We start from the raw sequence: 17602 nt of genomic DNA, 5'->3' as shown, positions 1-17602 counted from the left end.
GGCAGAGGTGAGTAGTTGCGTTGCGACAAAGACCATATGACCTGCAAACCTATAATATTTACTATTTGGTCTTTTACGGGAAAGTTTTCCAACCGCAGTCCTAGGCTCCTATTACCTTAAGGTCAGGTACGGTGTCCAATTCCTTCAGCTTAATGCCTAGTAAATGATAGATACTCAAAGTTTGTTGAATGACATAATTTTTCACCTTTTAGAATAAATGCAAGAATATATGACCTTGAAGTAAATGCTTTAATAAAATGGGAGAGATGGAATATTTAACTCAGGTCATATAGTCAAAGTTCTTATTCGATGTTAAAATAGTTTTTTCCCTATGTCAATTTGGAAATATAGGTTCAAAAATATTAACTCTTAATAAATAAAAACTCATGTATTGAAGTGTGTGATCCAAAGATAGTACAGAATTCCAAGGTCACTCTGTAGAGAATATTTTATGTATTATTTATTTATTTGTAGAGACAAGGTCTCACCCTGTCACCCTGGCTTGGGTGCAATGGTATGATCATAGTTCACTGTAGCCTCAAACTCCTGAGCTCACGTGATCTTCCTGCTTCAGCCTCCCAAGTAGCTGGGACTACAAGTACATGCCACCACACCTGGCTTATTTGTTATTTTTTTTTTGTAGAGATGGGTTTCAGTATGTTGCCCAGGCTGATGTCAAACTCCTAAGTTCAAGGGGTCCTCCCTCTTCGGTCTCCCAAAATGCTGGGATTACAGGAATGAGACACCCCACCTAGCCCTAATATATATGTATGTATGTGTTTAGACAGAGTCTTGCTGTATTGCCCAGGCTGGAGTGCAGTGGCACAACCTTGGCTCACTGCAACCTACACCTCCCAGGTTCAAGTGATTCTCTTGCCTCAGCCTCTTGAGGAGCTGGGATTACTGGTGTGCACCATCACACTCAACTAATTTTTGTATTTTTAGTAGAGAAGGGGTTTCCCCATGTTGGCCAGGCTGGTTTCAAACTCCTGGCCTCATGTGATCCACCCGCCTTGACCTCCCAAAGTGACAGGATTACAGGCGTGAGCCACTGCGCCTGGCCATAATTCTTAATATGAATATTTCTTCTCTAATATCATTTTTAATCTTTCAAATGTGAAACTTCTAATTGTTTACCTTCTACAAAAAATGATTTAATACAATTCACACAATTATTTATATCTCTTTAACTATCATATGTACTAATTTTCAGGCAATTTTAATAACATAGCTTAGATCTAAACTGATGCATACTTCCTCAATTTAGTACATGGCTAACTGAATGAATATCTTGTAAGAGATTTTTGCAGTCAAGTGACAGACCATATAACCATACAATTTATCCTAAGATACCTGTAAGTTTTGATGGATTAGTGTAGGAGTTTTCAGATTCACAGTTTGATTTCTGGAGTCAAATGTCATAATCCAAAGGAATTATTTAGGTAGAAATAGGAGGAATTAGGACAGATTAATGTGAAGGTAAGAATGTGTGTTAACCTTATACAAAAATTAATTCAAGATGGATTAAAGACTTAAACGTTAGACCTAAAACCATAAAAACCCTAGAAGAAAACCTAGGCATTACCATTCAGGACATAGGCATGGGCAAGGACTTCATGTCTAATACACCAAAAGCAATGACAACAAAAGCCAAAATTGACAAATGGGATCTAATTAAACTAAAGAGCTTCTGCACAGCAAAAGAAACTACCATCAGAGTGAACAGGCAACCTAAAGAATGGGAGAAAATTTTTGCAATCTACTCATCTGACAAAGGGCTAATATCCAGAATCTACAAAGAACTCAAACAAACTTACAAGAAAAAAACAAATAACCCCATCAAAAAGTGGGCCAAGAATATGAACAGACACTTCTGAAAAGAAGACATTTATGCAGCCAACAGACACATGAAAAAATGCTCATCATCATTGGCCATCAGAGAAATGCAAATCAAAACCACAATGAGATACCATCTCATACCAGTTAGAATGGCGATCATTAAAAAGTCAGGAAACAACAGGTGCTGGAGAGGATGTGGAGAAATAGGAATACTTTTACACTGTTGGTGGGACTGTAAACTAGTTCAACCATTGTGGAAGAGAGTGTGGCGATTCCTCAAGGATCTAGAACTAGAAATAACATTTGACCCAGCCATCCAATTACTAGGTATATAACCAAAGGATTATAAATCATGCTGCTATAAAGACACATGCACATGTATGTCTATTGTGGCACTATACAATAGCAAAGACTTGGAACCAACTCAAATGTCCATCAATGATAGACTGGATTAAGAAAATGTGGCACATATACACCATGGAATACTACGCAGCCATAAAAAAGTATAAGTTCATGTCCTTTGTAGGGACATGGATGAAGCCGGAAATCATCATTCTCAGCAAACTATCTCAAGGACAAAAAACCAAACACTGCGTGTTCTCACTCATAGGTGGGAATTGAACAATGAGAACATTTGGACACAGGAAGGGGAACATCACACACCGGGGCCTGTTGTGGGGTGGGGGGAGGGGGGAGGGATAGAATTAGGAGATATACCTAATGTAAATGACGAGTTAATGGGTGCAGCACAGCAACATGGTGCATGTATACATATGTAACAAACCTGCACATTGTGCACATGTACCCTAGAACTTAAAGTATTAAAAAAAAAAAAAAGAATGTGTGTTAAGTGGAGGGCTCTGCAAATCTCTCTCTGTCAGGATGGGAAGTAATAAGCAGCATTAGCATATAAAGAAAGTAAATTTTATTTATTTAAGTCCCAGTCACGTTACTTTGTAACTATGTGACATTAAATAAGTTAATTTACCTCTCTGAGTCTATTTTCTTGTCAGTGACATAGAGATAATCATATAATTGTATATGAACTAGTTCATTTTATTGTTCAATAATTCTTTAGATTATTTCTTTAGAGTCTCTTATTATCTACCTTATGCAAATGAAGAGACAGAAACTTTAAGACCTCTCATGAGTAACTTCACTGTTCTGTATCTAAGTGGCAAAACCTGGACACAAACCCACAGCTAGAGCTGCAGTGGGAATTCTCAATCAACCAGTGCCTGGAGTTCATTTGCCAAAATCTTAGATTGCTTAATTAGCAACATCAGACCCTGCATTGTTTGTCTCCTTTGCTCTAGGGAGAGGCCACCATGGAGAAAGCTAGTGGCCCTTTCAAAAAGTGAAGCTGTGTCTATGATCAGCCTATAAAAGTCCCATTGGTTTGAGACATAAAGCCAAGAAGATGACAAAAGGGTTATGAAAGCACAGACAGAAGTTGAAGTAATGCTTTTAGTTGATGTGTCACAGTACAGTATGATGGGAAAGAAGTCCTTGTACTTTTTCAAAGTAGAATTTGTATTTTACTTAGACTAAAATAACCTTGTTCTTAAGAGATGCCAATATGCTCTTTGATTTTTCATAACCCAACTAAGCAGTGCTTTGGCAAAAAGCATGTCATTATTGGCCAACATTCCCCTGACTTCAGTTTTCAATTTTTATTTTTTTAGCTTTATTGAGATATAATCGATGCACAAAAAATGCACACATTCAACGTATATCTTTTAATGAGTTGGGCCATAAGCCTATACCCATAATACCATCACCACAACCAAGGTACTAAGTATATAGTCACCTCCAATAATTTATTTGTGTTCTTTTGTGTGTTTTTTGTTTGCTTTGCAGTAAGAAAATTTAACATGAGATATATCCTCTTATATTTTAATAAACACAATACTGTATTATTAACTGTAGGTACTATGTTGTACAGAAAACCTCTAGAATTTATTTAACGTGCATAACAGAAATTTTATACCATTGAAAAACAATTCCCTATTTCCTTCTCCCCACAACCTCTGGCTACCACCTATCTCATAAGAGATTAATGTCCAATATAAAGGAGAGTCTCCTACAACTCAATAGCAAAACAAAAACAAAGAAACAAACTAATTAAAAATTGGGCAAAAGACTTGAATACATATATAAATATTTCTCCAAAGAAGACATACAAAATGCCGGTAGGTATACGAAAAAGTGCCAACATAACTTATTGGAAAAATTAAATCCAAACCACAACAAAATTTCACTTCTTACCTGCTAAAATGTCTGTTATCAAAAAAGAAACAAGTAAACAGAAACAAAAGGTAAGTGTTGGCGAGCTTGTGGAGGAATTAGAACTCTTATACACTGTTGATGGGAATATAGGGTGGTGTAGCCACTGTGGGAAACAGTATTGAGTTTCCTCAAAAAATTTAAAATAGAACTACTGTATGATACAGCAGTCCCACTTCTGGAAATATATTCAAAAGAATCAAAGTTCAGATCTTGAAAAGATATCTGCACCTTCCTGTTCACTGCAGCCTTATTGACTACAGCCAAGATATGGAAACAATCTAAATGTCACTTATAGATGAAATAATTTAAAAAAAGAAAAACGTGGGCCAGGTGCTGTGGCTCACACCTGTAATTTCAGCACTTTGGGAGGCTGAGACAGGGAGATCACTTGAGGCCAGGCGTTCGAGGCCAGCCTGGTCAATATGGCGAAACCCTGTCTCTACGAAAAACACAAAAATTAACTGGGCATGGTGTGCATGCCTGTAGCGCCAGCTACTCAGGAGGATGAGGCATGAGAATCACGTGAGCCCAGGAGGCAGAGGTTGCAGTGAGTGGAGATGCACCACTGCACTCCGACCTGGGTGACTGAGTGAGACTCTGTCTCAAAAAATACCAATCATAATAATTGGCATACATTTGGCTCTGTGTATCTGCAAGTCTCTCATCTGCAGATTCAACAAAATACAGATGGAAAATACAGTACTGAGAGATGTGAGCTTGCAGATAAGGATGGCTAACTTTTTGTATAGGTGAGCACTGCAGGACCAACTGAGTGACTTGAGTGGATGTGGATTTTGGTTCAGTGGAGGGTCCTAGAACCAATTACCCTTGGATACCCAAGGACAAATGTCTTCATACAATAGAACATTATTTCAGCCCTAAAAAAGAAATAAATGCTGCCATTTGTTACAGCATGGTTAAACCTATGAGACATTATCATCTGCAAAACGAGCCAGATGCAGAAGGATAAATACTTCATGATTCCACTTATATGAGTCATCTAGTCACCCAAATAGAAGCAGACAAATATCCTCCAAGTTGCCCGTGATTTAAACTTTAGCTTGTATCTTCAATGACTGAAATGTTTATCCAACATTAGCAGGTCGAAAAGAAACTCCAAGCTATATTACATGAAAAGTACTGGGAATTTGCTGGCCCTAAATATCTGGGTTGTTCTAATTCTAGGGAAAATAAAATGTGCATGCATAAATTCTAATAGTCCTTTTGCCATATCTTTAAATGGCTTACATTAAGTGCCAATGATGATGTTTAAAAAAAAACCCAAAACTACAGCTTGTAATAGAAATTCTAGAAAATATATAATACATATAAATATGATATTGAAAATAAATTTTTGGTTCTGGTTCCTTTTGTAAGAAATTGTGGCTGTAAAATACATATTAAGTATCCTTACTCGGGAGCCAGGCATGGTGGCCATGCCTTTAATCCCAGCTATTCTGGAAGCTGAAGCTGGAGGATCATTTGAACCCAGGAGTTCAAGGTTGCAGTGAGCTATGATTGTGTCATTGCAGTCCAGCCTGGGTGACAGAGTAAGACTCCATTTCTAAAAACATATTTTTTAAAAGAAAAGAAAAGAAACCTTACTTAGGTAACTATACTTGTGATGACACAGCTTTTATGGCACCATGCGGTTTTGAGAACTCAGAAGAAAAAAGATGTATTTCATACCTTCCAGCTTAGAAAGATTATGGGAATGCATAAGTAATAGATAATTTATAATATAATAACGTCTCATGAAAGAGGTAATCATGTGCTTTGGGAGTAGCGGGGGAAAGGCCCAAGCAGATTCAAATTGGAAGGAGAAGTCAGGAAAGGAATAGGAAACATCTAAGGCAAGGAAGAAAAAAGAGCAGATAATAGCTGGGGCATAAAGTAATAGGATATCAGCATTCCAGAACTGGGAACAGAGTATAATAAAGACACGGAGGTGTGAAACAGCGTATTAAAGGTGGGAACTGCAAGTGATCTGATATGGCTGGAATATAGGATTTGATATGGGAGAAGTAAAAGAAGACTAGAGAAGGTGAGGAGGTGTCTAACGGTAAAGAGCCATGAGAGTAATTGGATTGGAGCTAGAACAGAGAATGGGAAGTACATTCTGTCAGTCTATGTAACAGGCTTGCAAAATGTTCCCAGATAATTTATTAAAAAGCAAGTCAATTGCATTTTGCAGAAACCTTTGGCCAATTACATGAGAAAATACATTATAAGGTAATTTTATCTTATATTGCTAAAACAGAATCTGCCATTAAATAGATCAGTGGGCAAGTCACAATCCCCTTGGCTCCACTTTTCTCATTAGCAAGCAATAACAACAATAACAACTAACTTGTGAGTGGTTATGTGCCTGGTACTGCTCTATCTCTGTACATGCATTAACACATTCTAAGTGTTTTACCTAGGTTAACATCACAACTGTGAAAATTAAATGACTTAATTACATGTAAAGCAACAATTATTATCTCCATTTTAAAGATGAGAAGAGTAAGTTATAAAAATGAAAAGAAACTTGGCTAAGATTGCACGGTATGTCAGTAATGAAGCTGAAAGAAAGTGAAGGATTCTTTCAAGGGTCTATTCCTTATAGCACTGAGAATAGTGTCAGGAATACAGTAGACTCTCAAAACCTCAATGGATGAGTAAACTGATATCTCCATGGTGAGTTAAAGATGCTTCCAAACACTTTGCCACTTCTCCTACGAAGAGGTGGAGGCTAACTCCCCTCCCTTTGAATGTGACCTAGGCTGGTGACTTGCTTAGACCCAAAAAATAAGGTCAAAATAAGGTATAAGACATAAAAAGGCCTGTAGCTTACATTTTTCATCCTTAAAAGCCAACCACCAAGCTGAAAAGAATCTCATCCTAAACTACTGTATGATGACAGGCAATGTGGAGACAGACCCTGAATGATGTGAGTCCACCTTGGACATTTCAGTGTACGCATGGCCTCAGCTACAATGTATGGAGTAGAACATTGGCACACTGAGTCCAGTCAACCTAGGGAATCATGAGAAACAATAAATCATGTTTTAAGCCATTACATTTTGGGGTAATTTAGGACACAAAACAACCTCTGTGGCAGTATATTTACTTGTCTGCTCTAAAGCTAAACTTTTCTTTTTTTTTTTTTTTTTTTTTTTTTTGAGACGGAGTTTCACTCTGTCGCCCAGGCTGGAGTGCAGTGGCGCGATCTCGACTCACTGCAAGCTCCGCCTCCCGGGTTCACGCCATTCTCCTGCCTCAGCCTCCCGTGTAGCTGGGACTACAGGCGCGCGCCACCACGCCTGGCTAATTTTTGTATTTTTAGTAGAGACGGGGTTTCACCGTGTTAGCCAGGATGGTCTCGATCTCCTGACCTCGTGATCTGCCCGTCTCGGCCTCCCAAAGTGCTGGGATTACAGGCGTGAGCCACCGCGCCCGGCCAACTTTTCTTATAATTAATCTGTGACTCATTCAAACAAAAGTATCACTTCCATCAGCCTGCTTTCTGTATCTCATTCTTATTATTTACTTGAGTGGTATTTGGAAGTGGCAAAAGCTTCTTTTTTTTTTTTTTTTTTTTGAAAAATAAAAGACTAACTTGAGTTTCAGGAAATTCATTTTCATAGAAAACCACTTTCTGTTTTAAAATGGATTTTCATCTGAAAAGTTTCCTAATAATTGAAGAACACAATTTTTTGTCTCTTATTTCTACTGACAGTCTTAAAGCATTCTACCTCCTGGAAGGACACATGGGATAATAATAGGAAGACGATAAAGGTGGAGGCAGCCACACACAAAAACTTACATAAACACAACAGATTATTTTTAAAGTACATTTATTATCTCAACCAATTCCATTTTGACACACAGCCCTGCCAGCAGAAACATGCTGCCAATTTTCTTTCAGAGAAAACACTTGCATCCTTTAAAACTCCAAAACAACTCAGAGATCAGTAAATATGTTAATCCATTAAACAGTTGTTTGGTTAACAACTATTGGTTGCTTAATAGCATAGACACAGCCCCAGCAATTTATTTCTTACCATAAGCAAAAATGTCTTTCTTAACCTATGGGTAAATCATGATTACCTCAATACTGCAATGAAGTCACATGAGATTGAAATACAAAACTTGCTTAATTTACAGAAAATATTATTGTTATGTATTAGCTAGGGTTCTCAAGATAAACAGAACTAATAGGATCTATATCTATATCATCTATCTATATTTGTCTATACAGACTGAGAGACAAAGACAGAGAGAGAGATTTATTATACTATGCAGCTCATACAATTATGGAGACTGAGAGCCCCACAATCTGCCATCTGCAAGTTGCAGAAGCCAGAAAGATGGTGGTGTAATTCAGCTAGAGTCCAAGTACTTGAGATCCAGGGGAGCTAATGGTATAAGTTGTAGTTCAAATCCTCAAGCAAGAGAACCAGGAGTGCTGATGTTTGAAGACAGAAGATGAATGTCCCTCAGGAAGAGACAGTTTGCCCTTTTTCCACCTTTTTGTTCTATTCAGGTCCTCAACAGGTTGGATGATGTCTGCCCACATTGGTGAAGATGGACTTCTTTACTTACTACCAGTTCAAATGCTAATCTCTTCTGGAAACACCCTCACAGATGCACCCAGACATAATGTATTACCAGTTTTCTGGGCATCCCTTAGCCCAATCAAGTTGACACATGAAAGTAAACATCACATAACATGATAGTACACTGAGAACAACGGCTCAAGCTTAAATTAAATTGTAGATCCCAGTACTCATACATATCTGACCATGTCTGGCAGACTGGTAGTGTAGCTACCAGAAGTCTATTGGCATGAAGGATTGATGACTCTTCTGAGAGAAAATTCATCTTAAGTAGAGATGGAATCAGAAAAGTTCAAATCAATATCCAAGCCTCAGTCAACAGGGGAAAAGAAAAAGCTCTGAAGACTGCCTGGTAACTGCCATTCAGATTCATCCTAGGGATAGAGGGGCGAAGAATACAAATTCCCTCCTCTATGTGACTTGCATATTTCCATTTTAAGTCTTACAAACTATCAGGATGTTTGTAAGGAGGCAGTAACTCTAATAGAGTTAAACACAAAGGATAAAGAAGCAATCTTCCCATTTCAGCACCTAACATACAATGAGGCTTTAGAAGCAGTAGATGATCTGGAAGGAAATCTCACTAAAAAATTCTAGCGTAGGAGAGAAGGAAAGTTGTGAACACCAGGTGGTAGCAAGAAGATTTATTTATGAAGTCACATGAGACATGTCTGAGATTTCTAGAAATAAATGAGCAACTGGCAAGGGTACCTGGTTGGAGAAAGAGCCCCTAATGTCACTGATAATGTTTCTCCATTTGTCTGGGGGGACTTTGGGAATCTCAGCTTCTAACAATAATAGCAGATGGGTTTAGGGAGTTAGGGCTAATGAGCTCCTTTTGTTCCTAAGTTATTAATTAATTCATTTTCTGAACTGTATCAAGGAGTGGATTAACAATGAGATTTTCCAAAGGTGGACTTTTTTTATGCTTTAAACTTACATATGATAGCTTTGCCTATTACAGTCCTCACACATTTTAGTCATCCTCATGGATTTCATCATTGAAAAGATGAAAGAACTATGACTGAGAATCAGCAAAATGGTCATGCAGCAGCATGGTGGTCAAAAACAGACTGCTTTGAGTTAGGGCTCAGTTGGTGCCTGGTCTTGCCACTTAAGAGTTCTGTGATGCATCTAACTTAAGAAGAGTATCATGATGTTGCTTATTTCATTATATTGTTGTGAAGACTACAATAAATAAGGCATTTCAAATATGCTATATTTATAACAAATAATAAAAATCTCAAGTCCAAAATGTTTAAAATTATCTATATGGTATACTGCCTCAAAACAAATCTTTTCCTTCCGCTGTCTAAAGGCTTAGCACAACTCCTAAAAATAGATGGTGTCTATTTCCCCCTTAAACCTGGGCTGGCCTTGTGGTTTGCCTTAACTAATAAATAGAATGGCTATGCCAGTTCTAAGGCTAGGTGATAAGAGGCCTGGTACCATCAGCTCCAATCATTTTTGAATCCATTCAAATTTCAAGAAGCTCAGCTAGACTACTGAATTATGAAAGATCATGTGGAAGAAGCCAGTTTCCTGCTATTTCAGCCACCCAGATGAAACCACAGACATAAGTAGAACCCCAGCTGAGCTCACAGCTGAATGCAGCTTAGTGACCCAGCTGACATGTGGAGCACAAGAACCACTCAGCTGAGCACAGCCAATGCACAATTATTTAATATATAATCATGAGAAATAACAAATTGTTGTTTTAACAGTCTAAGGTTTGGGTTAGCTTGTTATACCTCAGTAGATAAGTGAAACACTATTTGAGGCCATGTATGATCTTCCCGTTGATGTCTCTAATCTTAACTTTCAGCCCTCTCCCCTTCATGCGCACTACTCTAGTCACTCTGATCTTTTCAATTCTCAAATATAACCTGGGGCACAGGATCTTCACATATGCTGCCCTCTTTACCTGAACTATGCTTCCAGAGGCCCCTCCCCCACCCATCCCACATACTATCTGCCCCCCTTTTCTCTAAGTAACTCCTACTTGTCATTTACTCTTATACAAGCCTTTTATTTTTTCTTTAGAGCACTTTCTATAATTATAATTACTTGGGTAGTTATTTGTTTAATGTCTGCCTTCCTTCTAACCTAAAAATTTACTGAAGGCACCCAGCACAATTTCTGGCATCTAAAGATACTCAATACTTAATTCTTGAATTGATGAACCGATAGGTTGATTGCAATAGAGCCAAAAGCAAAACTGTGTCTCTTGCCTCATACATTAGTGTTCTTGTCCTTGGAATTTACCATCCTCCTCTCCATTTGTGGGAAATCAGTGTGAGGTTTTACTGGGGAATATCTTTTGCATTTTAAATCCAGGATATGAGTGGATACAATTTTTTAGAGGAGGACGTTTTTAAAAGATTAACACAGCCAAAACCAATACAGGACTTTTATATTAGTTACCAGCTTCTCCTTCTCTAAGATTCTCAGATTATTCCATAATTCTTATTTACAAAGCTTTATTCCCCACAGGAAACCAGAAAGATAGTAACTCTTAAATGGAAAAATGGGGACCTGGCAATTCCAGTGGAGCAGACCATTATTCAATGAAGTGTACTCAGGAGGTAAGACAGAGCAGAGCCAGTAGACTTAGTCCCAGACACAAGGGCTGATTTCCACCCCAGACCTTGCTGACAAAATGTCATCAAGCTTCATAATAATTGAGCTCTAACTCAATTACATAATGTAAGTTTCAACTAACTCACATTATTTAATCTTTTTTTTTTTTAGCTCAGTTCTACATATGGACAATGGGCTAATTACTTTCTATTTAATTCCTAAGATAATTATAATGACTAAAATACTTTGTAAAATGTAAACCATAATTTAAACATATAGTATCACACAAAATATTTTTTAATCAAATACAATAAAATTTTCTTGTGCAAACGAGGTATCTCTTTCTGATGTAAAAGGTGGAGGCTGAGAAAATACGTCCAGAAGCAAATATCCAATGGATGTGCAGGCTGGTACTGTGCAATGCAGAAATCTCACTTACATTCTGCTCCATGTAAAGGATGCTTGCTAGAATTGCACAGGCCACAGCCTGAGGTTCTTTACATAGTGGCTACAATTTCCTTGCTTGCCATAGTGGCCCGCTGTGGGATTCAGGTAGTATATTTGTGAAATTCCTTCCACTGAGTAACATCAATCGGATTTCAGAACCCAGATGCCCACAGGTGGCATTCAATTCCACTGTTATCTAGGAAAAACTGCAGTTGACTTCCCTAACTTCAGAGACCTACACTCAAGCCAGCAGGAGGAAAGATAAGCTCTGGATGGTGGCATCAGAAGACCTATATACTAAATCTACACATAGGATTTTTGTTTCCTACCAAGGGAGGCAGGTTTAAAGTCATGGACACATAGCTCTAACAGCTCAGTTGGGTTGCTCACACTGAGAGAGATGTAGACTTACAGAACTTGAGTAAAAAAGAAAACCTCAGAGAAAGTGACTCATGGTAGTTTCCTTGTCTGCAGACAATTCCCTCTTCTGTGCCTCAGGCTCTTACAGCACTTTATACTTCTGTCTACAACTTCTCACAGATGGACATGAATCATAGTTCTGTATGTGTTTGGTTCCCAAGGGATAGTAAGAGACTTGAGGCCAGCAACTTTTCTCGTTCATCCCAGGGTGACTCAAATGAAATGGGCCTCCTTGAGTCAGCCCTGAACTCACCCCAGTTCATCTTAAGACTAACAGCACAGTTACATAGCAAAGTGAAAGCAAAACAAAACTAATCAAAGGATAAAATGTTTACAAATATATTATAGTCCAGGTTTCTGCTATTTTTTAAAAGCCCAGATCATGTCACAGAAGTCCACTTAAGGATGATTACAGCCAAAAACAAATTGATATTTACAAGCAAATACATGTTGATGCTGGTTTCTTTCTATCTCCTGCCTATTCTGTTTTGATGTCAGCTTGAAATATTTAGAGGTTGACAAGGACAGAAACCAAAGGCCCTGGACTTATTGGACAGTTATAGATAGGTCAGTAATGCTGCCTCTGTGTGGGAAAGCTGGCAATAATGGGATTAGACATGCCAGTTCCATTTGCAGAGGTCTGGTTCTTAAATAAGTGACTCAAATGCTTTGTTTTGTCACTGCATTAAAGTCAATATGTGTGTGTCTGTTCTCTCTGTATGTTGATTTCTCTTTGACAGAAACTCATTATGAGAGACAGCTACTTAGGTGGAAGCTCATTTGGAATTCACCAAATAGCCAGCTCTAGTCAGTATGGGAAGAAAGGAAAATGGCTTGTGACAGGAATAAATCCTTCAATAGAAACTGTTGGTATTCTCCTTCTGGTGAGACTCTGGGGAGTAACAAAATTAGATGGTGAGTAGTTTCAGAAAAGGAGGACCTCAAGCAATTAGGCATCTCTTAGAAAGATGATTACATAGACCTATGGTATAAGGATAGGGTCCTTTCTTATAAAACTTTTTTTCTTAGTGATCCACCAAGGAAAATCATTTAGAATGGTTGTATGAGTAGTTTTATCTGGTATAGGGACAGCTAATTTGCTCTGAATATTTTTACATCCACTTTCTAGACTGATGTTATCCATTTGGTATAGATTTGCCACTTACATATTGAGAGGAGGTTTCTTACTGACACATCAAAGCAAACTTCCCCCTGTTCAACATAGTATATTGAGCCAATCAAAATAGTTGTGAAATAATAAAGTGTTCATACTTTAATGGTGAGCAGTGCTGGATACACACACACACACATATATTCACACATATATACATACATGCACACACACACATATATATTGCTTTATATTTATATATACATGTTTAAATTATATATGTTATTTATTACACTGTTAAACATTATTTATGCATTTCTGGTTAATGATGTCTAATATATACTTGGTAGCATGTTAAAAATATTTTTTAAAAATTGAATTATGTTAACTTAGTCATATGCTATCCTGAGAAGTAAAAAATACATATTTCTAGGACAATTTATCCATACACATGGGCAATAAGTTTATTTCCAGTGTTAACTGATTCCTCAACTATTGTAGTAGTGGTATCTTTCTGAAATTTCATCTTACTTTCTGAGTGTGCTAAGTTGGCCTAATTGTGAGACACATTCATTTAAAAAAGTAATTCTAATCTGGATGCTGCCACCATGAGGTGGGAAGTTGGGAAAAAAGAGAATATACTTCAAATTATCTTTATGGGAAAGTTAGTTGAGTATAACCTGAGGAAACAGCATGTCTTAAAGAATAGGGCAAAAATCTTTCAGAAGAAAAATCCTCTTGGTGTAATCTTTTTGAAATTGGTTCAATCTTCTTTACATTTCTGTTGCAAATGCTATTATGGAAAGATGTTCGGTGGTTATAGGCCAGTGATTACAGAGATTGAGTGCTGGGGTAATAAAGAAGTGAATTTTGAGGTTTTTAAAAATGCATATTTTACTTGGAAGCATGAGCTTTTGAAAACTAAACTGCTTTAAAATATAAAATATGTAATCAAATACAAATTCTTGTCAGAAAAATGCTGCTCAACAAATTGTACCTGTTTGCACTGATAAGCAAGGCAATAAGAGTTCTTTAGATACCATCATGCACTTACTTGATGGGAAAGTATAGAAATCCTACCAAAAAAAATCTGAAAATAAAGCTTATCGGGTTGTTTAAAGTTGTTTAGGTGAGAATCTAGCTTGGATCATAAAACAGTTAATCAGATGATGTTAGTATTCATGGCAGGCTGAACCTCCTGAAAAGAAAGATAATCTGGAAAGCTGGGTACAGGTGGTAGTGCACCACCTGTAGTCACAGATACACAGGAGGATTGCTTGAGCTCAGGAATTCAACACCAGTTTGCGCAACATGGGAGGGTGCATGGGGGGAGAAAGACAATCCTAAGAAAGGACCTAAATTCACACACAAAAAGGGACACTCTGCCAGAGTGTTTTGTTTTATGTGGGGTTCTCCCAGAAGCAGATCTGAGCCAAGGATTTGAGTGTGAACAGTTTATCTGTGAGCTGATCTCAATAACCATTGGTAGGGAAGGAAAGGTAGTCAATGGAGTTTTCATTACTAGGCAAATTTCCATTGTGGGGAACTGGAGCTTGATTCTGCTGGGTAATATTAGGAACCCAGGTAAAACCCAGGCCCTAGAGTTATCCCACCCCGGTGCAAGGGAACTGGGTATATCATACACAAGTTCTCGCTGGTCTCTGGGTGAGTGGTGCTCCCAGATTCATTAATTTCTTGGCACTTCCAGCTTGCCACATGGAGGCACAAACCATGCTCTGGTGGCAAGAGGCCCTCAAGCAAACACTTGCAGGTGCTGGCAGCTGGGAGTCTCAAATGGTAAGAAAAAGAAATATTGCTGGAACACTGACAACGTTTGCTGAACAACGTAACTGGCTGGCTATTCTGAATGAAATGAAAGTAAGCATGATTTGCCTAAGGCCTTATATAGATATTAAAAAGCAAGCAAACAAACAAAAACAAATATAAACCCCACAAATACCAAAAGACCTACCCTAGGAAAATTGAGATATGTGTGTAAGATACTACACTACACATTTCCATCCTACAGACTATGACAGCAAGGGTTTTTCTTTTATAAACAGGTAGATTAAGCAGCTACCTCTGTAGTCTGATTTGAGAAACAGAAAGGTCCATAAACCAAAATATTTCCTCTACTTCCCCCTTTCCACTATTTAAAATGCTTCCCTTTGAGATTTGTCACTTTGTGTGAGCTATATTACACTCTGTGTGTGTGTGTGTGTGTGTAACACAAATATACATATCTATGCACATAAATGTGTTCATGGATGTGGGGAGGGCAAATGTATTAACAACTTGTGGCAAGTTTATTTATTAATTAGCTCTCTTTAGGAAAAGAGACAGAGAAAGTGCTGTTTTTAAAGGGAAAAGGTAGTTCCTTTCCCCTTCCTTAAAGGGAAAACAGAAAAGTTTACAAATCCCATGTTCTAAGCCCAAACCAAAGGTAAAGGGTGCTGTGTCATTGACGGCATGTGCTCTGAAAAAGAAAAAAAAAAAAGAAAGAAAGAAAAGAAAGGAATAAAGGAGGAGGAGAAAAAGAAAGACAGAATAACTCTCTAGATAACACTTACCTATTCCAAAAATTTGTACTGGATACGTATGCTTGGCCACAACGACTTGAAGAACTCCAGGTGGCACCATTCTTACAAAATACAAAACGATGTTTCCCCCCAGAGTTGTGAAACATGATATCCTTGCACATATGGTTGGGTTATTTTCCCTTTTTGCTTTAAGTATTACTTCAGAATTAACTAAATTTGATCACATTATTTTTTAAATAAACATATTTAAATGTCCATGGAAAGTCGAAAGATACTTTGTCAATCAAAACATTTTTTAAAAATTTCATTAGGTGAGCTTTCTATTTAAAGAGAATCTGAGCCAGGGATGGTGTCAAGTGTCTGTATCTCAGCTACTTGGGAGGCTGAAGCTGGAGAATCTCCTGAGCTCAGGAGTTCAAGACCAGCCCAGGCAGCATAGCGAGACCCTGTCTCTAAAATCAGCCAACCAACCAACCAATCAATCAATTAATTAATATGAAGGGAATCTGGGGTGGTTTTTTTTTTAAAACAATTATTTGAAAATACAAATTTATCTGTTTGGTCTATTAAGATTCTCATGTGCAGTATTTTTTTTTTTTCATTAAAGCTTAAAGCATTTCTCACATTCACCAGTTACCAGCTGTATGGTCTAATAAAGCGCATTTGTCCACTATGAAGCAGTTTCTCTATCTCACAAATGCATTCAACACTTACCTAATTCAGGTGTGTTTGGTATTTCTAGTATTCCTAAAGCTACATTTGAAAGATAGAGTTGAATTTAATGGAAAAAGGTACTACTACTTTATGTTGTTTTCTTCTAATCAAGCAGGCTTCCACAGAGTGGAAGTGTTAAGTAAGAGGAAAAGGATGATTATTATGATAATTACCACTTTTGAAATATCTCATTTGTAAGGTCTAGTGGCTTATGAGAGCAGAGATTCTGGCCCTGCCCTCTCCCCAGAATCCAGGAAGTGTCTGGAACACAGTAGGGGCTCAAATTAATTATTTAATTACCTAACTAATTTCACACAATCTTCCCAATAGGAATGTGAAGTAAATATTATTAACCTCATTTTACAGTGGGAAAATTAAAGCTCAGAGAAATTACATAATTATTCCCAAACAGCTGGTAAGTGATAGAAGTCTGTATTTACATTTTCTAGGGAGAAAAACAAACAAACATAAACAACTCTATTTCACTACATATTCTACCATTTAAGGTACATATATTTTACCACAACTTGCTATAGCTTGTGATTATCTTAACTCAGATGTCTTCTTCTTTTTCTTTTAGGAAATGGGCTAAGGTACCAGCAAAGCTTTATTTAGATGCTCTTAAGCTTTGGCATATTCGTGCTTTAAAAAAAGCACGAACATTTCAAATTCAAGTGAACGTACAGTATGCATCAACAACATATTGGATTTGCAGATAATGAATTTACAAAAAAATGGTGAAAATATTAAAATCACTTCACAGTTGCATGATATTTTGATGTTATCTGTACTACTACTTCTCGGCTTTCATGCTCTCTTGTATAAATTATCTAACTTTTACGTTTTCTGCAAAGGCATCTTCAAAAAAATTTGAACATCCATGTATTTTTAATGAAACAGAGCAGTCTGCTGAAGATGCACAAGGCAACAGTTTTATGTTATTTCATAAGCACACAGATTGATGGCAAAAGGAGAACAAATCATATTCAGAAAAATTCCCTCAGAGAAGCTCAGCAAGATTGGGAATGGTCTCAGCAGCACTAAACTACACTCTATGCCCA

At 37.5% G+C, this 17602-nt stretch overlaps 1 protein-coding gene across 5 annotated transcripts in view, besides 2 other annotated features; it reads right to left on the bottom strand.

The window, feature by feature from the left end:
• The window catches only part of PRKG1 (protein kinase cGMP-dependent 1), a 1307463-nt gene that overhangs the window by 406614 nt on the left and 883247 nt on the right, over positions 1-17602 (bottom strand). The window lies entirely within an intron of this gene.
• Positions 12097-12156: an enhancer, noted in NCBI's record as "active region_3376". NCBI's record gives its function as "activates an Ori minimal core promoter by ATAC-STARR-seq in GM12878 lymphoblastoid cells {active_cell/tissue: GM12878}" and the evidence as "EXISTENCE:reporter gene assay evidence [ECO:0000049][PMID:35858748]".
• Positions 12257-12326: an enhancer, noted in NCBI's record as "active region_3375". NCBI's record gives its function as "activates an Ori minimal core promoter by ATAC-STARR-seq in GM12878 lymphoblastoid cells {active_cell/tissue: GM12878}" and the evidence as "EXISTENCE:reporter gene assay evidence [ECO:0000049][PMID:35858748]".

Source organism: Homo sapiens, chromosome 10 (genome assembly GCF_000001405.40).
Source record: "Homo sapiens chromosome 10, GRCh38.p14 Primary Assembly".
Lineage (NCBI taxonomy): Eukaryota > Metazoa > Chordata > Mammalia > Primates > Hominidae > Homo > Homo sapiens.
The sequence above is the reverse complement of the archived record's forward strand: the minus strand, read 5'-3'. Positions and strand labels throughout refer to the sequence as shown.